We start from the raw sequence: 23,371 nt of genomic DNA, 5'->3' as shown, positions 1-23,371 counted from the left end.
AATCCACGAATGGATTAATCCATTCATAAGAACAGAGCCCTTATAACCCAATCACCTCTAAAAGGTCCCATCTCTCAATGCTGTCACATTGGAGATTAAGTGTTAACATGAATTTTGGAGGGAAAATATTAAAACTATAGTACTGTGTAACAAGTGACTACAAATTTAGTGGCTTATAACAACACCATTTAACACACAGCCCCTGCAGGCCAGAAGTCTGGGTGCACGTGGTGAGGTCTTCTGCTCAAGGTCTTACAGGCTAAAATCGAGGTGCACTCTCATCAGATGCCAGGGGTTCTCTTTCATGTTTGTGTGGTTGTGGCACAATTCAGTTCCTTGTGGTTAGAGGACTGAGCTTTCCTGCTTCCTCATTTGCTGTTAGCCAGGTCCCTTCTCAGCTCCTTGCTACATGGCCCCTCCATCTCCAATCCCAGCAATGGAAAACCTTGAGTGGAATGCCTCTCTCAAGTTTTGCAATCTCTTTCACCAGAAAGAGTTCGGTGCCCTTTTTAAGGGGATCACCTGATTGAGCTTGACCCAACCAGGATAACCTTCATATTTTAAGGTTGAGTTGAGACTTTAATTCATGTAACATAACATGTAACATAACATAATCATGGGATTGACACAGCATCATATTCACAGGTTCTGCCACACTCAAGGGCAGGGGATTATACAAGAGTGAGATTCATTGAAGGTCATCTTAGAATTCTGTGTGCCACAAATATCATAACCAGGAAATTGATATTGGTACAATCCACAAGCCTTATTCAGATTTCACAGTTTTACGTGTGCGTGTATGTGTTTTTCTGGCTACAAAATTAGATTATATCTAGCTTCTTAATTAGCTAATCATGTCTGACATTTACATAATATGCACACTTGGGAATTAGGTAGGGTATTTCACTTTCAGTATTGTTTTTTTTTATTTTCAGTTTTCTTTTAGCTATAGAATTTTTTTTCAATTATATCTCTGATTATTTTCTCTCCTCCATGTTCTTCGAGAATGTGTCTTAGATGGCTACTTAAATACCTGGCTCTATCTTCCTCAGCTCTCAAGCATTCCTTTATATTTTTTGTCTACTTATCTATTTGCACTGGTTTCTGGGAGAATTCCCGAACTTCATCTTCCAGCTTACTAAGTGGCTCTTCAATGATCCATTCTGTTATTTAGCCAACCTGTAGAGGTTTTCTTGTAACCAAACAACATTTTAATTTCTAAGGTCTCTATTTGGCTTTTGTTTGTGGGTGTAATATTTGATTCTGCCTGATAACGATTTTACTTATTTCTATAGCTTGTTATTTTTCTCCACCCACTTGGCTTCCTTGGGTATTGTTGTGTCTATTTGCCTTTATTGCATGGTGCAAACATTTTGTGACTTGGTTTTATGCTCATGTTGTTTTTTTTGTTGTTGTTCTTTTGTTTTGTTTTGCTTTGTTTTGTTTTAGGTGAAGTCTCGCTCTGTCACCAAGGCTGGAGTGCGGTGGCACCATCTGGGCTCATTGCAATCTCTGCCTATTCAGGCAATTCTCTTGCCTCAGCCTCCTGAGTATCTGGGATTACAGGTGTGTGCCACCATGCCCAGCTAATTTTTGTATTTTTTTTTTTTTTGAGACAGAGTCTCACTCTGTTGCCCAGGCTGGAGTGCCACTAGTGGTGTGATCTCTGCTCACTGCAAGCTCCACCTCTGGAGTTCATGCCATTCTCCTGCCTCAGCCTCCCAAGTAGCTGGCATTACAGGCACCCGCCACCAAGCCTGGCTAATTTTTTGTATTTTTAGTAGAGACAGAGTTTCACTTTGTTAACCAGATGGTCTCAATCTCCTGACCTCGTGATCCGCCCTCCTCAGCCTCCCAAAGTGCGGGGATTACAGGCATGAGCCATCGTGCCCGGCCTAATTTTTGTATTTTTAGTAGAGATAGGGTTTCGCCATGTTCGCCAGGCTGGTCTCAAACTCCTGACCTCAAATGATCGGCCCACCTCAGCCTCCCAATGTGCTGGGATTACAGTTGCTTTTTGAAGATCCTTGATAGCTTACCTGTGAGCAGTATATACGTTCTTCTCACGCTGTCTGCATGAGGGCGGGTGAGAGGCAGCCCCAGGTGTGTCCACTAGCTCCTCTTCTGGGTAGGGGCTCCCAGCCTGTTTACTGCCACCTTTCTGGGACACTGCCCTGCCCTCCTGGCCCAAGTGATAACTCTCAATTCATCTGCTTTGTCACTGACAGGGATCTAGTTCATCACTTTGCACAGAGAATGTGCTGAGGACAGCCTTGGCAGAGAACCTCTATGAATAACCTCGTCAAATGCCCTGGACCCTGCCCCTTCTCAAATTCACTGCCTCCATGCCAGCACCCCTGGAACAGTGAATACATTTGTAGCCGACCTGACCTGTGCCCAATTTGATCCTGTCTAGCTTCCATTACTTAGAAAATTGAGATCACTTGTCATAGATAGAAGGCAATCTAAAAGTAAATACAGTGGAAAAACCAACCAACCAACCAACCAACCAATGCGATTAAATTCCAGCTGGACATTGTTGCCTCCTAAAGACCTCTTGTCTGAGGCCTGGTCTCCGTTTGTTGAAATAGGGAATTAGTAAGTATTAGAGAGGTGTTGGACATATTACCACCAAACCCAAGGTTTTCTGCTCAGCCTAAACAGAAGGTTTGAAATAGAAAACACAAAAAAACAAAAAAACCTTTCTTAAGATGTAAGTCAATATTATTTAATATCACACCTGGCAGCCACCTAAACTCCCTCCCACACTTTAGGAAATACATACAACTAAGGGATTTTATGTTCACTAAAATGAAATCTTAAAAAAATGACACAAATAAAGAGAATATCAAATGATGTTTCACGCATCTTAAATTAGTAAGCATCGTAGTTTCCATTTTTCATTCCTTTTTCTGAGGGAAACTTGGTAGCTTCTCTCCTGTCCTCTGTGTCAAAGAGATACTGTTTTTGTTGTGGTTGGTTTTAACAGAATGCCATTTAACAGGCAGGTTTGTGACATCAGAGGCTTGCAATGGGCATAACTCTCAAGCTCATATCTGACACACGGGTTACATGGCTTTATCTCTGCCTGTGCTAAGTTCTCTGCAAGGCCCTGTCTTTGCCTTCGACATGTAGGAGCTTTGTTCTCCACCAGGTGCATTTTCTTTTCTTCTCCCAGGGAGTCCTCACAAAATCCTCACTTGTGGAGCCTTCTGCCTCTTCTCTCCTTTCTCTGCCCAAACACCAACAGTCTCTAACAGGAGTGACACATAATTCCACTTATGGGAAGTGAAATTCAAAAAATTACCCAAAAGACATACAGAACCAAATCTGCAATTATGTGGAGGGACACAGAGATAAATGAGTGGGAAGGGTATATTTACCACCCATGGAAACGCAAATTAGATAACCTCCCCTTAAAACCAGTCTTTCTTAATAGTTTTCTACAAAAGAGATAACACTGTCCAACCACCTCACAATTCTCAATCCAGTGAGTCAAAAACAAAAGGATACTGCACAGGAATGGAGGGGTAGGTCCTGGGGACTCTAGCATAGATGTCCCCAATACAACAACCCACTTTACAAAAACAAAAGTCTTTAATAACTTGGCACAATGTCAGTGACTTGCTGTTGTTGGTTCTTGTTTTAATGTATTGTTCTGAACAGAGGAATAAACAGCCAGTTAAAGAAACCCCAACTTACTCATCAAATACATGAAGGTGTTTATAGATTTCTTCTGTTTTAATGCATTAGAGTTGGACTTGTGCCATCTGAGAGATGACTTAGACACTAAAATAACACCCGAGGGCAATAACGTTTCATAGCGAGGCTGTCTAGTACCCATTCTAGACCCATACTAGGAATCTTCAGTCACTTTTTGTGCATGTAGCAGGCATCTGCATAACTACTGAGTATTTAGTTTATATTTGCAAAAATCAGATGTAAAGGCCCTCAGACATGATGGTTAGAAGGGCAAAGTGATGATTTCCTATATGAAACCAACTTTTAAATGCCTGCCTCTTTTTAGAGACGTACATTCTCTTTTGGTCTGCTTTAGCATTTAGGACCATGACTTAAAAGTTGCCTTGTGCCTTCTTTTTGTTAGAGTATCTTGTGGCTGCCTTTGGCCAAAGCCATTTCTGTTTGGGTGGCCAGGCACGGGAATCAGATGTTGTGAGGGCACTTCTCCTGCCATGGCTAATTCTACAGCCTTTCTAGGAACAATTTCTACATTGCAGTTTAGTGGTCAATTGCAGCTCCAATCAAAGTTCAGGACATATCACAGCTGGTCTACAGTTCGGGAGAAGAGGACATTTCATCCCAATTAAATTTTTTTTTTCACCTACAGAAAAATTGGTCCCATATTGAAGATTCCCGGGGGAGGGGGGAGAGATGGGTGTGGGGGAGGAAGGGTTGAAATGATGAGCTAACTATAGGCTTCCCATATGTTCTGTTGAGTACAGGGAAGAATCCATGCTGTTATGGTAACACCCTAAGACCCACAAAACAAGCAAGAAGAATCAATTTTCTCCTTCAGGCTCTTTGCTGCCACCCACAGTCTTTGGTCCTAGCATGGCACTGGGACCCAGTGTTTTGGGAAGATCCCCTTCAGCCCAGCTCTGCCTTGAGAGTAACCCTGTCTTCTAGTCCTGCCTTTCCCTGGGTGAAACAAACCTGACACTTCCCAAACACACAGGGCAGTCAATTGCGCTAATCCTGGTGCCATGTTGAGGATGGGAAAATGCTAAGTGTGAAATGCTGTGTATTGCCTTTATAAGTACCCATCAAAACAAACCAAAACATCTCATTTAACACGCGGTATTTAAGTAAACATGTTATGGCTATACCAAAATAATCCCCCCAAATATTAAACAACAAATCAACCCCCTGTCAGAGCCTGACTCACTGAATAAATGGAATGAATAAAATTGTAACTCACGCGCTTGACTACGGCTCTATGAAATTGTTGAATCTGTTAGGTGTAGCGTGTGATTTCCGCAGAGAGTAACCAAAATAACCTCAAATGCTTTATTCTCTCTCCCAATAGAAATTAAACAGATCTGTAAGTTCCCAAATTGGGTAATACAGGCACAAGAACACAAATCCTATTTTCTTCCCTTCTTCCTCTCCTCCTGCCAAATAGGAGCTAGCATCAGAATGTTCAGTCCAAGAACAATGATTTCTACTCCACTTGGGCACTGATCTGGCTGTAACATCTGCAGGGGACAATCCCAGTTCTGAACGGAAAAAACAACTTTGCTCATTATCCACGTTCCATATAGCTACTGACGGGATAATAAGTGACCACAGCGGAATACTACGCCTTCTCTGCTGAGAACACATGGTTGTAATTCCTTTGGCCTGAAGGAGAATCACTGAAGCCATTTTAAACATTCTTCTGCTGTTTATAGCCTTTGTCTAAGATGCCATGACTGGTATCGGCCATGAGTGGCATATCCAATCCCTCTCTAACATCTGCCGTTATAGTTCCCAAAGAGGATTGAGAAGTCTCAACATAATCTCACAGGAGAAATCTTATTGTTCCTCCAAAGAATATTTTGTATTGAAAGCAATGCCTCATATTTATGACATTCTAGATGTTTAGAGAAAGGATTTGACTCTGTTGGATAACTTCAATCAACGAGGATAGTCTGGGTTAAAGCAATCATGTTTGCCAACTGAATCTGGGTTGTTTTACAGCTCATTCCTTAATATGGCCACAGCCCCTCCCACCCTCAGCTTCCCCCACCCCCCCACATTGCCCCATTCCCTTTGGGACAGGTGATGTAGCCACAGTATCATGTGTATTGGTATGAACACAATGTAAGACATGCCCAAAGACCTTATGTATTTACTCATCATTCGGTGACAATTTTTTTTTATCACAGCCCTAACTCTGTGTTAAGTACTATGCTGGCTTCTGGGGTACAAGCATGAGTGGTAACAGACCCCAATGCTGCCTGTAGTGCATCCAGCATAGACTGTCAGGCAGTGAGATGCAGCAGGCCCCTTGCAATAGCTGAGATTTGGAGCTAGGGATGCTGTGTCAATGTGGATCAGGCAATGGTACTTTGAAAGGTCATCATTATAATTTTATTAAGCTGTGATGAGAGTGAGAAGATAAATATAGAAATGTGTTTAGTATTGGATACATATTATCTCACAGAACAATTATGAATTGTGTTTCTTGTGTACATTAAAATTTGGATATATGTGTAAGAGCAAAAGCTGAATCTAATTTTTTATCTGCCAGATAAGGAATTCATTTGAATTCTTTCACTGCTAATTAAAGGAAAATTAGAAAACAAACTATTTACTAAAGCACTAAACACATTCTGATTACTTATGGATAAAGGTAATTATTTTGGCTTCATTTATTTATTTACTGAAAGCCTAATGATAGGTAAAACAAAGAATTAATAGTGTAATAGAAAGGGATGATGGGTTTATTCAGCAGACGGAAGGAGCATGATGCATTTCCACCTTAGATTTGGGAACATGAAGTCTCAGTGATGCTGATGTGTGACGTTAGGCTTCATGCAGCCCCTGCTGGAGTGCAGTGACCTGCACACGGGCCCAGGACAGGGAGCAGGTTGGGGTGGCAGGTGAGTGTGGCTGCAGACCAGCTCAGTTCAAGGTGCTAGGGGAGGCAGAGGGAAATCTCCAGGTGACAGCTGGGCACGGTGGCTTAGCTCAGGACTAGACACGTAGGGAGAAGATGTAGCGATAGCTTGATGGAGAAATCGAGTCAGCAAATTTTTTTTTGTTTGTTTGTTTACAACAACATAAACTTATTATCTGATAATTCTGGGGGTCAGAAGTCCACAGTGGGTCTCACTGGACAAAAATCAAGGTGTAGGGCTGGTTTTCCTTCTGGGGGTCCAGGGGGAATCCATTTCTTTTCCCTCTCCAGCTTCAGCGTTGAGCTGAGACCTTCTCTCACTGCCATCTCTCTGCTTCTGTCTTCTGAATTCTTCTCTCTTCTCTCTCTCTCTCTTTCTTTTTTAGGATTTTTTTTCTTTTTTAAACATAGGACTTAGTGGTGCTTATAGACCGAGGGAAAGAAGGAATGGAAATGCCCAGGCTGAGGCTGCCTGAGGATGGGGAAGGAGAGAAGGGGAGCAGGGGCAGCACGGGGAGGGGCCTGCACCTGGAAGGGAGACCCACTTCTGGCAGTGGGGGATGGGGGCTGGGGGAGGGGGTTGTCACATGGCTTAAGTGGATGGGAAGAGATGAAAGAAACTTGAGAGTGGGGAAGGAGGCAGTTGGGGAATTTCTCTGGAGTGAGTGAGGGAGGTGGAGAGAGGTCTTCAGCTGAGAATGAGGCACCTGAGATGAAACCCATAGGAAGATGAGCAGCCTGTGGCATGATCATTTCAAGGGAACGCCATCACCAAGGGGAAGTTGGAGGGGGCCCGGCAGCAGGGGGGTGGTCTGGACTTGCAGAGGGTTTATGTCCCACTGTGGGATTTTTCCAACAGAACTCAGCAGCTCAGGAGTGGGGGCAGGAGAAAATGAAGAATGCGAAGTGGAAATCGTTCTTATGGGGAAAAGCAAGGAGACTGTGCCATGAGATGGATGGGGGCAAGGTTCTTGAGGCCGCTGCCTGGCAAATCTCCTGGGGAGCTCACCACAGGGGTCCCACTGGACCGGCTGAGTCAGGTACCTGGGGGTGGGGCCAGCCTCAGCATTTTTGAAGAGCTCCCTAAGTGATTCTAGGGTCAGCCAGGGCTGACAACTGCTGGTAGGACTGGAGGAAATGTATATCTAAAAGACGTGAAATCAGGATCTCAAAGAGATGTGTGCACTCCTCTGTTCACTGCAGCACTGTTCACAATCGCTAAGATGTGAAACTGACCTGGACATCCGGTCAACAGGTGAATGGATAAAGAAAATGTGGTACATACATACAATGGGATCTCATCTAGTCTTAAAAAGGAAGGAAACTCTGCAATCTGTGATATGAACAGACTTTGAAGATCTTATGTTAAGTGAAATGTCAGACACATAAGAAGACACACTGCATAATTATACTTTTTTTTTTTTTTTGAGACAGGGTCTCACCCTGTCACTCAGGCTGGAGTGCAGTGGCAATATCATGGCTCGTTGCAGCCTCGACTTCTCAGGCTCAGGTGATCCTCCCACCTCAGCCACCCACGTAGTTGAGACCACAGGTGTCTACCACCACGCCAGACTAATTTTTATTTTTTAATTTTTTTGTAGAGATGGGGTCTTGCCATGTTGCCTAGGCTGGTCTCAAATTCCTGGGCTCAAGTGATTTGCTTGCCTCTGCCTCCCAAAATGCTGGGATTACCAGCATAAGCCACCGCACCAGGCCTATAATTCTACTTATCTGAGATGTTTAAAATAGTCAAATTCATAAAATCAAAGACTGGAATGGAGGTGACCTGGGGCCTGGGGGAGGGGAAAATTGGGAGTTATTAATCAATGGGTATAAGGGTTCATTTAAGTATAATGAATAAGCTTTAGAAATCTACTCTACCACATTGCACCTCCAGTCAACAGTAACGTATTATACACTTAACATCGAAAAGGACGCATCTCACGCTGAGTGTTCTTAGCTCACCCACACACAAGTACAGCGGCAGGGAACTGAGAGTGAGAGAGACGTGACTGGAGAAAGTGAGAACTGGCCTGAGTGGGTTCGGGGACCGGCCACTGATACGATGGTGGGTCACAGTGTGTGGGCAGATTTACAGAACTGGAACACGGGTTTAGAAAGTTCGTATTTGTGAACTCATTTGGAACTTTTATGAAGGTATCAAAATTGAATCTCATTTGGTTATTCATGTAATGAGTCAACCATATAAAATAGTTCAGCAAGGCTGGGCGTGGTGGCTCACGCCCGTAATCCTAGCACTTTGGGAGGCCGAGGCAGGTGGATCACGAGGTCAGGAGATCGAGACCATCCTGGCTAACACGGTGAAACCCCGCCTCTACTAAAAATATATAAAAAAAAAAAAATTAGCCGGGTGTGGTAGCGGGCGCCTGTAGTCCCAGCTACTCGGGAGGCTGAGGCAGGAGAATGGCGTGAACCCGGGAGGCGGAGCTTGCAGTGAGCCAAGACCACACCACTGCATTCCAGCCTGGGCGACAGAGCAAGACTCTGTCTCAAAAAAAAAAAAAAAAAAAATTCAGCAAACACAGTTGTAAACATTTGAAGGCCGCATGTGGTGACTCACGCCTATAATCCCAGCACTTTGGGAGGCCGGGACAGGTGGATCACTTGAGTCCAGGAGTTCCAGACCAGCCTGGGCAACATGGCGAGATCTCATCTCTACAATACATTTTAAAAATTAGCCAGGTGCGGTAGTGTGCACCTGTAATCCCAGCTACTCAGGAGGCTGAGGTGGGAGGATTGCTTGAGCCCAGGAAGTTGAGGCTGCAGTGAGCCATGATTGTGTCACTGCACTCGAGGCTGGGTGACAGAGCTTGACCTTGTCTCAAAAAACAAAAAATGAAGTGTCCTAGAAATTCAGGCTGCCCAATCACCAAGCAGAGAAGTTGAAAGAGCCGTGGATGGCTGGGTTCCAGTCTGGGCTGGAGGTGGAACCCACCATCCCAGAAGCTCATTTATACCATTAACTGGGCACTGGCTGGAGTGAGTGGAGAACAGGAGAAACTGTGAGAAAGCAGGCAGAGCCCCAAGGACATGAGTGGACACTGCGATGTTGCTGGGTTCTCAGGCCAGGAGGATGGCAGTGCTGGGGGACAAGAGAAAGACGGTGAACTTCCCCCATCCGCTGTACCTTCGCACCCCAGCACGAGATGCCCTGCCTTGTATGCAGAGCACTGTTGCAGGGGAGCTAGCAAAGAGCATTCTGAAATGCCTTTGCCATGGACAGTTGTCAAGGCTGGTCTTGGTCTACTGGTTGAAAGCAGAGCTTTGGTGCCCAACTCAGTTACTTGCTGTCTTTGTGACCTTGGGCAAGTTACTTCTAAGTCTTAGTTTTCATATCCTTATATTGGGGCTAATGATAGGACCTTCCTTGTATAATTAAGGATTGCATGAGAAAATGAATGCACAACGTTTTTCAAAGTGCTAGATGCAGGGTAAGAGTCTGGCTACCTAGAAGATTCCAATGGCTAATGGGTGAGGCATGCAGGATCCCTTTCTGGATCCCTTCTCCTAAATGCATGGAGCAATGTGGTGGAGCCTGCTTCTTGGCAAGACTCTTTGCTGTTAAATCTTCACAAAATCAAGCCCCTAGTTACACTTCTCATGCACTATTGGTAGATTCTGCTAGTTCCCAGAAAACCAAGGAATTTTAGGTTGGCAATGCGTCTGGTGTGGCCTTAATCCCTTTCCCTGCCTTGCTTAAGGGAAGACCTCATCATTCCATCCTGGCCCCAGCTGAGGAAATGTTACCTCCTTCTCTGAGCTCCCTCACAGCCCTGAGCACAGCCCACTTGTATGTTAGGCATCTTTGTACAGCTTCATCTTCCTCCCAAGCTACATGCCTTGGGGACAGGGGCTCACTATCCATCGTTTCACCTTTAGCTAGTCACAGTACTTCACTCTATCTACCCTCAATGATGACGTATTGCATTAATGAACTGGTGGATGTTTTCAGCACAGCCAACCGCTAAACCATTGTTTGCAGATCTGGGCATTTTTTAACCTTCTGATTTTTAACAAAATGGGCGCTATCCATTCTAGCAGGCAGCAACTATCATTTTCTTCTACAAAGTTGCAGCACGCAACCAAAGATGTGTCTGCAGAAAAGATAACCTTTTACCAAGGCAGAAAAGAATGCTTCAGTTTTTCTTCTGAGAAGATAGATTCCCTTTTGTTATTTATTTAATAGCTGTGATCACAGGGAGAGAAGATAAGAAGTTTGCTCTGGACTAAGCAGATGAAGAGATGCATTTCACAAGGAAAAGTGCCCAAAGCAAAAACTGCTCCCCCATCAGTACTCGGATCAAGACTAAAAACCCCAGTGGGCTCACAGAAGAACTTGTCATAACAACCTACCCTCTCCGGAATGACATCAAATGTGTGGAGGTAAATGAGGTCAGGTCACCTCCTCTGCTTGGCATCAAAGAGAGATGTTGCAAAGTTGGGACCTGGCTTCTGCTGGCTCTGCTGAAGGAATCACACTCTCTATATTTTAAGTCCCCAATCACTCAAGCACTATGCAAGATTAATAAGATTCAGACAACAGGATTTTTAAAAAATCATGTATGTAACAAACATCCTTTATCCCCTCCCTTAAATGAATATACAAAGGTCAGCTCATTGTTTTTAAACATCTGGGCAAAAACAAAACAAAGCCAGAAACAACCTCCCTGCTCCAAAAAAAGTAAGTTTTTTTTTGTTTTAATCCAAGAAAGTAAAGGTATCCAATGCTGAGGGGTAGACTTGAACCCTAGAGGCAGAGGGGTGGGTACTAAAGGGCCCCATAAAGTGCTCCCTGCCTCCCGCTTAATGCCTAATTACTCATCGGCATGCCTTTGTTCGCCAGGCGTCTGCTTTTACAATGCAGTCAAACAACGTAGAACCGTGTCCATTTATGGGAAAGTCAAAGACCAATAAATAAAAAGTTTAATTTCCTGATTCCCTGATGTCGATGGGGCTTAGAAAGTACTCACCAATCCTTCCAACAACGGTCTTTTCCAAACATCATGTGAGCAGCACCTCGTATCAAATTTCATTGCTCATAAAAAAGAATCAGATAATGTTCAGTGGGAAAAAAGCAGGATACGAGGTACATGGTGTTTGCAACTAAAAAGCCGTCTGCTTATGGGGAGGGACTGGAAGTGCACAATCGCTATCAGAACCTTTGTGTTGGGGCAGGATTTGGGGAAATCGTTTTCCCTCTGTTTTCTACATTTTCTCCTGCTATATAGGTTTTACAATGGAATGTTTTTAAAAAATCGATTGGTAAAACAATTAGCTAATTATTTAGCAGATGCCATTACCCAGAACTGAGAGCATTACAGGAGGTGTCCAATGTCAAGCAAATCAGCTGTAGCCCAAGAAATTCAACCAAATATCAGCAGACTGGGTTTCTTAGCTTTCATCTAGAGAGATGTTGATCCCTACGGATTTCCAAAGTTGCCACCATTAACAAAAAATCATCTCTCATCAGGTCTTTCCACCTATTGAATTCTTTCAGGTAATTAACCGTCTTTAGGGAATTTTCCCTCTGGAGAGACAAAGTGGAAAGATGAGGCAATGAAGTGAAGTATGCATATAATTTTTTTTTTTTTGAGACAGGGTCTCATTCTGTCACCCAGATTGGAGTGCAGTGGCACAATCTCGGCTGACCGCAACCTCTACCTTCCAAGCTAAAGCAATTCTCCTGCCTCAGACTCCGGAGTAGCTGGGATTACAGGCGTATGACACTACGGCCCAGCTAATTTTTGTATTTTCAGTAGAGACGGGGTTTCATATATTGGCCAGGCTGGTCTTGAATTCCTGACCTCAAATGATCCACCTGCCTTGGCCTCCCAAAATGCTGGGATTACAGGGGAACCACACCTGGCCAGTGTGCATGTAATTCTGATCTTTGGTAAGAAAATGGCTCAAGAGACATGAGCTGGCTTATTCACCTGGCTGTCCATTGGGAGGGGATCCTGCAGAAAAGCGGACGGAACTAGTTTTGGCCCACCCCAGCCCATACTGCCAGGTGGAACAGGGACTGTAGCTGAGCAGCTCGTGCAGCTGGTGACAGATACACCAGCTGGGCTTGTTCTCCCGCTCTTTCCTTTCTCTTATTTCCCATCACTTTTACCAGCTTCTCTTCTAGGCATTCCTCAAAAGGTGGTCCTCAGAGTTACACTCTGGGCCCTCTTCCCTCCCTTAGCTTCTCTTCCTGAACGCATTTTGTGGGCCAGTCCCTTATGTAGAGAGCCGTTTATCCAGCTAAGTCTACTGAACCTTCCAAGGTGCCAGGCCCTGTACTAGGCACAGGAGATGCGGGACAAAGAAGGAGAGTCTCTTCCCTTAGGACTGTGCATCTTAGTGGGTAGAAGACACACAGACAAGCCAAGAGGATTTCACCAGATAAATATCCCAAGGCAGAACCAGGGTTGGTTTCTGCTGGACTTGCTCCCTGGACGTCTCACGAGCACATCAACTCAGCCAGTCCAAATGTGAGTGCCACCTCTCCCCCAGACCACTCTTCTCCTCGTCAGAGTCCACATTCTGTCTGCTTGAAGACACTGCCATCTATGTAGTCACCAAAGCCCCAAGCCTGGGAGTCCTCATAGATGCCCCTTGCCCACACCCTGCCATTCAGCCTGAGGACAGTCTCTTTCGTCATTTCCTTCTTCCCACTCCCACACACACTGCCCCAGATCCCCCTCACTTCCAGCTTTCTGCTGCCATCTTCTGTCCTATCCTCTTGCTCCTCCACACGCCACCACACGGAGGGCTTCTCCTAAAATACACACCTGATTGCTTGGTGTTCCTGCTTAAAAGACCATGCCAGGCTCCCCACCAGTGGACCAAGTTCGTCCTCCCTGCATGGCCCCTGACCACTCTGTACCAGCCTCTGCAAGTGGCCTCACTTGCTTCCAAATACTCACTTTCTGTGTCAGCAACCAGGGCACCAGGCACCTGCCACTTCCCACACATATAGCACGCGTTGACATCGCTGGGCCTTGGCCATGCTGTTCTCTGTACCTAGAATGCTTCTCCCCCTACCCACCAGAAGGGAGGACCTAGAAAAAAATCCTGTTCACCTGTCATTCAAGACCCAGGTGCAATCCATCTTCTCTGGATCCTCACACATCCCAACGCTGCCCCTGGTCACTCCATTTTATTAAATCCCTCCAAACCCAAGGAGAATGAGTTGCATCCTCCTCTGGCTTCTATAGTTGATCATTCCTGCCTCTAAGAGAACACATTCAGAAAATGCGCTTTTCTCTCATTCCGGCGATGACACAGAATGTTCAAGATCAGGACAGGGCTCTCCTCCGTCATACAGCCGAGGCCCACCCCGAAGGTGTGTGGCTACACAGAGGGCTTCTGAAATAGCTCATGATTAGTGACCACAATGTCAGCAGCTGGTGTTCCTAAATACCCGCTATTTTTTAGGAGTCAAAATACTCATTTAAAAAAATCTGAATTAAGACTTGAGATGTACTCAGATAATTATAGGCAGCAGTCAATGTTCTGATCAAATGCAGTTGTAGTCATTGGAGAAAGCACTCTGACCATACCTTTCCTGCCTAATAAAATCCTTTCAGCATGCCTGATTTGCTGCTTCAGTGTCTGTTTCCAGGGTTACTGGTGAGATTGAAGATTTTTCAAAAATGTTTATTAGTCATTCGTATTTCTCCCAGAAGTCCTTGATGGGACTTTCTTAAAAAGCAGGCAGAAGTGGGGATGGGGAAGAGAACCTGAGACAGGAGCATAGGGAGAAGTCCCATTCCCACCCTTCCCTGGAGCCTGACCCCCTCCTGCCCATCTGTGCTACAGCCCCGCCTCTGGCCTCCCTTTTTAACTCCAGAGCTACATCCTGGAAGACTGGGTCTCTTCCCTTGGGTAATTTCCTCTCTCAGGACTTCTCCCCTTGATCATCTTCCTGGAGACATTCCAGTGGAAGTGGGAAGGGGAGGGGACGTCAACCCTCCACACTGGCTCGCAGTTGGATGGAGAGTGCATTAGGACCGGGTGCCATCCCCCTAACAGACACTAGTTTCCCATCGACATGCATGGCAGTCAGCCTTCCAGATGCCCGAATAACTCGCATTTCCCCGTATTCATGTCCTTAGGCAGTCCCCTCCCATACTAAATAAGAACTGGCCCTTTGTGTCCAGTAGAATATGGCAGAGGTGACCATGTCTAATTCCTGAGGCTGCATCATAAAAACGAATAGAGCTTTTGCCTAGTATTCTCTCTCTCAGAACATTCATCCTTGCAACACAGCCACTGTGCTCTAAAGAAGCCCAGACTAGCCCACATGAACAGCCCACACGCACTGAGAAAAACCGAGGCTCCCACCTATAGTCAGTCTCATCCACCACTGGAGTAAACAAGCCTTCAAGTGTATCCAGCCCCCAGACTTTGAGCCTCCTTCCTGAGACCCCAGATAATCCATCCCCTGTCTGAATTCCTGACTCGGAGAATGGACATTTTACACCATGAAGTTCTGGGGTAACTTGTTATGCACCCCTAGTAGCTGAAACAAAATAAATAATAAAATGCCAATAAAATAATTTCATTCCATTATAGCTGTCATTAAATATGAGCACATTGAGATTTTTAATGCCTAGCAGAGGAGGCGTCTAGAAAACACTTGTTGTAAAGAATCAGAACTATTTGAGGACTAGGCCCTATGGCTTGGCTTATAGACAGCCACTTGGAATATTGTATGTCTTCTGGTCTTAAAAATGCATAGTATGTGATCATACAGATGCATACCACAAGAGGGCAGGTGTACATACTGGAATAGGGCCTCTCAGACCTAACCCTGGTATCTCACAGTGACTTAAAAAAAATTTCATCCAAAGGGCAGGTGTACTTACTGGAATAGGGCCTTGCGGACCTAACCCTAGTCTCTCACAGTGACTTAAAAAAAAATTCACTGATGATTTTCTTTCATATTGATCATGGTGATGGATAGACTTCGGTTTTGAAGAAGTGAATCTACATTTCAAAACCCAGCCAGCTGGGAAGGCCTTCATCCCTAACAGTTAATTTAACAATGCCATATTTGTATTTATTATAAAATATATTCTTGTCATGAAAACACCTATAATTTAATTACTAAGAAAAATAGAGCTGCTATTTTTAAATGTCAGTGGGATAAACATTTCCTGACTTTATATCACCGAATGAATGCAGATGTGCTATTTACTCAATCTCATTTATTTCATAATTGGATTAAATAATGCTTCATTATTTTATAATGAACAAAGTAATATGTGATTTTGAAAAAAGAAGCAATTACACTGATTTTTCTTTCACCTCAGAACCTCCCCCCATGCATTCTGACATTAAAATGAAGTAATTCGTTGGGTAAATTTGAAGTCGCCTCAATTTCTTCAAGAAAGATGAGGAAACAGGTTTCTCAGAACATGGGTTTTTTCTGATTACAAATTGTTTTTTCAAAATATCTCATATGAACTTCAGATCGTCTCTATCACAGGGTGCTCCTTGCACACCACACAGTCAGTCCTTTTTTTGTGAGTGACCAGTGCTGGTCTCTGCAGCCCAGCTTAATTGCAGTTATGATGTAGATCAGGCTGAAATATCAGACTCTGACTGATGGCTTACTTGCAATTTGCCCTGCACAAATTCCGAACTACAGAGAGGCCATGGAGCTCCCAGGCTGGGTGTAAGTCATATGACTGGGCAATGAAATAGCTTTTCTTAACCTCAGCTTTCTCGCCTGTCAAATGGAGCTCACACTTCTATTTTCCTCAAGAGGATGTTGTGAGGAATAGATAAGGTAGTGGATATAAAGCATGAAACTCCATGCCCGGCACATGCGTCATCAGTCCTCAGTAACTCTTCTGTCCCCCCTACCACAGCCACAAGTCTCCCTGTGATCATGCATCACCTGGGATGTCTGTGACAATGTCTGGGATGCAGCAGGCACTCCCTAGACAGTTAACTACTCTTACTTTTTATCCCCCAGCTTTTCGCTCTATAAAAATCTTTAGAATAATGATTCTGAAAACAGAGATGGTAGATGAACACTGCATCTTCTTTACCAGCTGCATACTCATGCACGATCTCAAGAAGCACTTCTAAAAGATTCCTCCAAAACGATGCTCCATTCCACACTTCCTTCCTGTGTCCGGAAATCTAATTATCATCATCGGGAGAGAAAAATCAAGACAAAGGAAGCCTTTCCTGGTCAGTGTTATTAGAGACTGATATGCTCATCTATTCCAAAAGAAAGCAACTTCTAAAAAGCAGCTTCTTTTCTTTTCCATTCTCCTCTCTGAAGGTTCACTGCAATATGATTCCAGGAAGACTTTGCACAGCAGCCACAAACCCACACCAGAGGCCACAATAACAAATAAGATATAGTGGGACATTAACTATGCTTCCATATTCAGGGTGCTGAGGTGGAAATCATTTTCGACAGAACATGCGCTGCTTTGCAGCCTGTTAGCATTAAGTGGGCACAGCTAATGCAGTGACTCCAGATGGAATCCTTTAAAGCTTTGCTCCCTTCCACGACAAGCACACAAAGCCAGATGTTTTCATAGGACAGAATTCTACAACACCACACTTGCATTTTTTTCCTTCAGGTGCCAAATGCTTCTTATCATTACATGGTCTCAAATACATTTTATTAATAGTTTTTTTAAGGCACCAATAAATTGCATAATTTTTAACCAGTGAGTGTAGGCATACTAAATTTGGACAGGCAGTAAATTGTGACTCTGGTCTTACAGTCACTTCAGTTAGCCTGGACAAGTCTCTTAATCTCTCATTTGGATAATCTTTGAAGAGTCTCCTGTGGCTTTGATATTCTAGGTGTTACCGCCTGGCACCTTCTCAAATCCACCAGTGAGACTGACACCCTCCTCTGGGCTCTGCAGTGCCCTGTGCTGGCGTCTGCAGCTCCCAGAGCTCTGTTTTATCCCTTGGTGTCCCAAGGACTCACGCAGACCTGGATGTTTCTCAAGGATAAAACAGGAATGGTGTCCCCTGGAGTTGTACAATGCGATGGCATTATTTATTTGTATATTTGTTGAACAAAATATTAATTGAACAAAAGACAATACATTATGCCATAGTTCTGATTCAAAATATTTGTTTCACTCTTTTTATTAAAATTAAGATAAAAAAGATCAGGATTGTTTTAGAATAATGTAAAATGCAATGCTTAAATAGAAAATGACGTTTTAAATTAAAGACATGCTTTCAAGAACTTAAGTTAATAGATTTTTTTTTCTGAATGACTTTAAGCATGACTTAAATATTCTAACAGGCCAATGGTTTATTGATCAGAAAAACTTAGGCATTAAATTACTGGCTGAATACTGCCCTAGGAATCCCATTTGTCTTTAGATTATAGGGTGATTAATTTGATAAATAGCCAAGATATATTTTCATCTCTGTAACATCTAAAAGCATAATCTAATGCTCATTGTTCTTCTATCCAGATATGTTCTGAAGTAGTGTGTCTGACAGCACAATTAAGCATTTAAATATTTCACAAGTGTCAATATGCCCCAAAATCAGATTAGTGAAAACATCTCACTTACATGTATTTAAAAAATCTTTTTCTCTCAAGGTTCTTCTCCTACGGGAGATACAACACTTAGCAAATCCTGTTGACTCTGGAAAGTGGCAAAGAAGGATTTAAATTAATCCAGTGCTTGAGGTGGGACCTGGGGCAGCTTTCCAAGATCCTGTTATTCTTTCATTTGCAATCCCACCAGCCCCCTCCGGAAACTCCCTCCTTCCCTTTTCAGTCTCCTCTCTTCCATTTCCCAGGCCCCAGTGGGAAGGAGCCTCCAGGAGGTCGTGCTGGAGGGAAGTGCAAGGCCATTAGACGTCTCTGACTTCCTGCCATCCCGGGTTAGACCAATAGAAACCTCTGAGTAGCTTGGTTTGTGTGCAGGTTTCTTGCACTGCTGGGATGACTGTAGTGTTCGGTGTTGGATTTAGTGCTCTCCTGGATCCCATTGCTTCCAGCTGCTGGTTCCGAGTTCCCACCTCCCCAGAAAGCCCTCCCTGATTGCCCTCCTTCTCCCCACTTCATGGCCTCTGTGTCTGCTCCATCATGGCTTTAATGCCTGGGAGAATTCTCTGGTTTGACATCAGCCTTGTGCAGTTGACTGTGAGCTCTCCAGGGGAAGGAAAGGTCTTTTTCTTCATTATATCTTCACTTCTGTGTGGAGCAAGCATTCACGATGTCTGTTGGATGAGGAGTAAATGAATGAATGCACAGACAAAGAAAGGAAATGAGATAACATGCATGAAAGTGCTCTGTAAACAGCACAGCACCACAGCAGGCACATGAGCGTTAATGACTATTCTGTCAACATTGGCCAGTCCTGATGCCAGGCCCAGGATATAGGGGGCACTCAGCACCCTCTGTGGAAAGTGAAGGCAGGAAGGCTGAATGGGGAGCCGACTGTTGCAGGTTGGGTCCCCAGCAAGCCGAGTCTGAGGTGGAGTTCAGTGTGCAGGTTGTTTACCAGGGAGGGCTCGTGGGACCGAACTTGTAGAAGGGAGGAGGAGGGAGCAGGACTGGGCAGCGGCAGAAAAGTGGCTTCTTGGCTGACCCCAGGGGTGCTCTGAGCTAGAATGGCCCTTCAGAGTTGTCCTGAGTTGGGCTAAGATGGCCTGACCTTTATCACCTGCACTGGTCTGTAACCTTGGGTGAGGTCGTTCTCTGCAGCCGTGGTCCCTGAAGGTGTCTACGAGAGCAGGTGATGGGTAATGCCTCCTTCATGGCAGGGGGCGGTCTGGGCGGCACACCTCGGTGTCCACTATACCAACTCCGACAGAACCCATGACCAGAGGGAGCGTGCTCAGAGTTGAGGAAATCCTTCACCTGTAGCAGCGGTGGCATCGCTTGGAGAAACATAGCCCGGTAGATACACAGAAAGTATTTGCCACGAAAGTGGCTCTGCACTGGGTCAGGTGCCAAGACTGAAGAGTCCAGGGCTGCGCCTCTGGGGTGTTGGCAACGTTCTGTTCCTTGCTCTCTGTGAGAGGTTGCATCTAGTTGAACACGTATGACATATTTATGGTTCTATATCTATGTTATGTAAATTACATCTCAATAAAGTTGTTAAAATTAGTTTATTTATAACAACTGTGTCATGTTTCACCTTCCAGTCTGCCTCTTATTTCTCCTTTTGAAAGAGAACATGTCACTGAGGTTTTACTACACACAATTCTGCCAACCCCCAGATGGAAACTAACATTTTTAGACTAAACTATGAACTGATCCAGAACATCAAAATAACCTTTGGATCAAATCTGACTTTTACCTTCAATTTGGGCAACTCTCTGTCTTCTACTCAAACCCTTTAATGGCCTTCCATGTCACACTGCACACCCACAAAGTAAAATTTGTGGATTTGGTGGGGGGTGCTAAACTATTTTCAGTTCCTGTCACCAAAGTTTAATTGAACATTTACTTTGTGCTGGGCCTGGAATTGGGCTCTGGGCTTAGACCCAGGGCTGAATAAGGCAGTCCTGCCCAGGAGGGGCTCATGTCTGGTGGGAGATTAGGATGCACGCATATCGTCTGCGTGTCCTGAGAAAAGCTGAGTGATGGCTGAGCCAGGGGCCACCTGGAGTACTGGGGAGGTGCAAGAGTCAGCACGGACTTTCTGGAAGAGGTGTTGCCCTTGCCAGATCTGGAGAGATTGCCATCTCAATTGTCTGGCATGTCTCCTGGAAACTTTGTTTTGCTTGTATTTGTTCTCCAGAGGCCAAGGTCACCCTGGCCTCCTCTGCAGTTTTGGCTCCTGTGTTGACGGCTCTTGCCTTTGGACATCTGTGCCCGCCTTTGTGCCCCTTCCTTATCTCTTTATGCAAAAAGATGGCTTGTTCTTAGGTGGCTGTGCTTGCTTGCGGAAAGGACAGTCACTTTCCCTGGGATCTGCCCCCGAGCCCCCTCTCACAAAACCCTCTGTGCCATTTCCCCAAGTGCGCTGGACAACACTCCTTTAAAATTCATACAGTTTCTGTTTCTGCTGCTGCTTTCAGGCCTTTTTTTTTTTTTCTGTAGAATTATACATCTCATGAGTATTTGGTCATCTTGAGGAAGGGTCATTCCCCACCTCCAATGAAGATGAGCTCACCAGAACAAGCTTGGTGGGGAGTGTATGGAGACCTCTGGGGCTGTATGGCACCTCTGACTGGCTATGACCAGCCCCACCAGTCATGACCCATTGCAACTCTTCCTCAGGACCCTCTGATCTGTTTTGCAGGACAGGGTTGAGAATCAAATCCTTTGGTCTGATTCAGAGCCCAAACAGGCTCAGGACTGGAGGACATGAGGATGTCTGCCCCTGGGTTTCCCCACTTTCTTCTCTGGTCTCTGACTACCCCCAACACTCAACCTGTGTGGAGCCGCACCTGCCCCGAGCTCAGAGAAAGAATCCTGTCAAAATTCACATGAGCATCGGTGTCTCTCACTGTCATTTGGGAAGTTCTTAGGGGGATAGTGAATGGCAGGGAGGTCTTGGGAGAAGATCAAGAGATTCAACAGCCAGAATGTGTTTTGCTTCCACAAACACTAAGATTAACTTGCCTTTCTGAGCCTGTAACAATTCACAACTGGGAGAAGGGATTCAGGACTGCAGTTTGTCCAGCTTAGAATCAAAAAGTTACTGCAGATAAATCTGAAAGCAGAGACATAGAGAATTAATGATATCAAGAGGGAAAAATTATCAACATCTTAGAAAACCTCCCAACCTGTCCACACGGGTTAATCCCACTAACGCTCACACGTGTGTCCACTCTGAGGTGAGGATAAGATGATCCCTGTTACTATGTCCCATGCCCTCTTTCCAGAGCTAAAACAAAGAGGCGACTGATTATTTATAGATTCAAACTGCATAGACAGCCATTCAAAATAATTTATGTCCAATCCTTTCTTTAATGTGTTATTAAATCCCTGGGTACATATTTGCTGATACAACATTCACAGTGAGACTTCGAAGAGCCAGAATGCCTTCGAATAAAGTGCCTTTCTCACACTTACAGAGTCTCTTCAGACCTACCCATCAGTCCCGTACAGGGCCTCGCACCTTCCTGTCTTGGGGCTGTGCAGGGTTTGGTTGATCAGGGACTAACAGGAGACTTTTTTTTTTTTTTTTTCATTTGGAAACCAGTCAATCCTGGGGATATTTCCGAGTCAGTTTCATGTTACACATATTACTAAACAGTCATGAGCTAATGCAGAAAGACAAATCTCTCCCAGTGTTTCTGTGCTAAATGTGATGGTTATGAACACGAGGTATCAATTTGATTGGATTGAAGGATGCCTAGATGGCCAGTAAACGATTGTTTCTGGGTGTGTCTTGGAGGGTGTTGCCAGAGGAGATTGACATTTGAGTTGGTGGACTAGGAGAGGAGGACCTACCCTCAATGTGGGTGGGCAGTATCCCATCAGCTGCCAGAGCAGCAGTGAGCTCATGCTCATGGAATTCACTATTCTTACCATGTTCTCCACCATCCTGAAGCAGCTGGATTGATAGAACAGTGGAATGGCCTTACAACACCAACTAGGTGATGATACTTTGCAGGGTTGGGGCAAAGTTCTCCAGAAGGCTGTGTATACTCTGAATCAGCCTCCAATATATGGTACTCTTTCTCCCATAGCCAAGATTCACAGGTCCAGGAATCAAGGGATGAAAGTGGAAGTGGCACCACTCACCATCACCTCTAGTGATCCACTAGCAGAATTTTTGCTTCCTGTTACTGTGACACTATGTTCTGCAAGCCTAGAGGTCTTAGCTCCAGAGGGAGGAATGCTGTCACCAGGAGACGCAACAATGATTCCATTGAACTGGAAGTTAACACTGCCACCTGGCCACTCTGGGCTCCTCCTGCCTCTAAGTCAACAGGTTAAGAAGAGAGTTCCAGTGTTGGTTGGGGTGATTGACCTGGACTATCAAGATGAAATCGACTACTACTCCTCGATGAAGGTAAGGAAGAGTATGTGTGGAGCACATGAGATCCCTCTGGGCGTCTCTTAGTACTACCATGCCCTGGGATTAAGGTCAATGGCTCTACGACCATACCACACTGAATCCATCCCATCTCGTCTGATCTTGGAAGCTAAGGCCAATGGGAAACTACAGCCTAATCCAGGCAGGAACAAATGACCCAGACTTTCAGGAATGAAGGATCACAGTACCAGGTGAAAAATCATGATCAGCCAAGGTACTTGCTGAAGGCAAAGGGAGTACAGAATGCGTAGAAGAAGGTAGTCATCAATAACAGCTATGACCACGTGACCAGTTGTAGAAATGAAGACTGTAATTGTCATGAGTATTTACTCCTTATTTTGTTAAAAATATGTTTGTGCATGTATACACCTGTACTAAGGAAATATCTTCATTTTATTTCTTTTCTTTTTCCTTTATCATGTAACATAAAATTTATTGACTTCATATCAGCATTTAAGCGTTGTTTGTCTTAGCATTTAGGTTAAGGATTAGTGTGCTTCTTGTTGTACGAAGGATAGCTGTATTATGTTAGGCATAATTACGACCTTATTATTGTCTTTATGTGGAGATTAAGTATGATTTCAGGACATGTGTATGGGTGCCCAGTTGACAATGGGTAGACTTGTGATGGTTAATATTAGGTGTCAACTTGATTGGATTGAAGAATGGCTACATGGGTGGTAGAGTATTGTTTCTTGGTGTGTTTGTGAGGGTGTTGCCAGAGGAGATTGGCATTTGA

At 44.6% G+C, this 23,371-nt stretch overlaps 1 protein-coding gene across 2 annotated transcripts in view, besides 1 other annotated feature; it reads left to right on the top strand.

The window, feature by feature from the left end:
• Positions 1 to 23,371, top strand: part of TEX36 (testis expressed 36) — a 106,642-nt gene that overhangs the window by 37,806 nt on the left and 45,465 nt on the right. The window contains exon 4 of one of the 2 annotated variants that reach the window (XM_005269817.5): positions 5,144 to 6,114. The exons of the other annotated variant lie outside the window; for it this stretch is intronic. Within the exon in view, the coding sequence (XP_005269874.1) occupies positions 5,144 to 5,179 (36 nt within the window). The 3' untranslated portion in view covers positions 5,180 to 6,114. Of the gene's footprint in view, positions 1 to 5,143; positions 6,115 to 23,371 lie in introns of those variants that run through there. 2 annotated transcript variants of the gene reach the window in all.
• Positions 15,284 to 15,578: a silencer, noted in NCBI's record as "tiled region #5499; HepG2 Repressive non-DNase unmatched - State 13:Ctcf". NCBI's record gives its function as "represses a minimal TATA promoter and a strong SV40 promoter by Sharpr-MPRA in HepG2 cells {active_cell/tissue: HepG2}" and the evidence as "EXISTENCE:reporter gene assay evidence [ECO:0000049][PMID:27701403]".

This window comes from Homo sapiens, chromosome 10 (assembly GCF_000001405.40).
Source record: "Homo sapiens chromosome 10, GRCh38.p14 Primary Assembly".
In the NCBI taxonomy this organism is placed as follows: Eukaryota; Metazoa; Chordata; class Mammalia; order Primates; family Hominidae; genus Homo; species Homo sapiens.
This window is presented reverse-complemented; position numbering and strand designations above follow the sequence as displayed.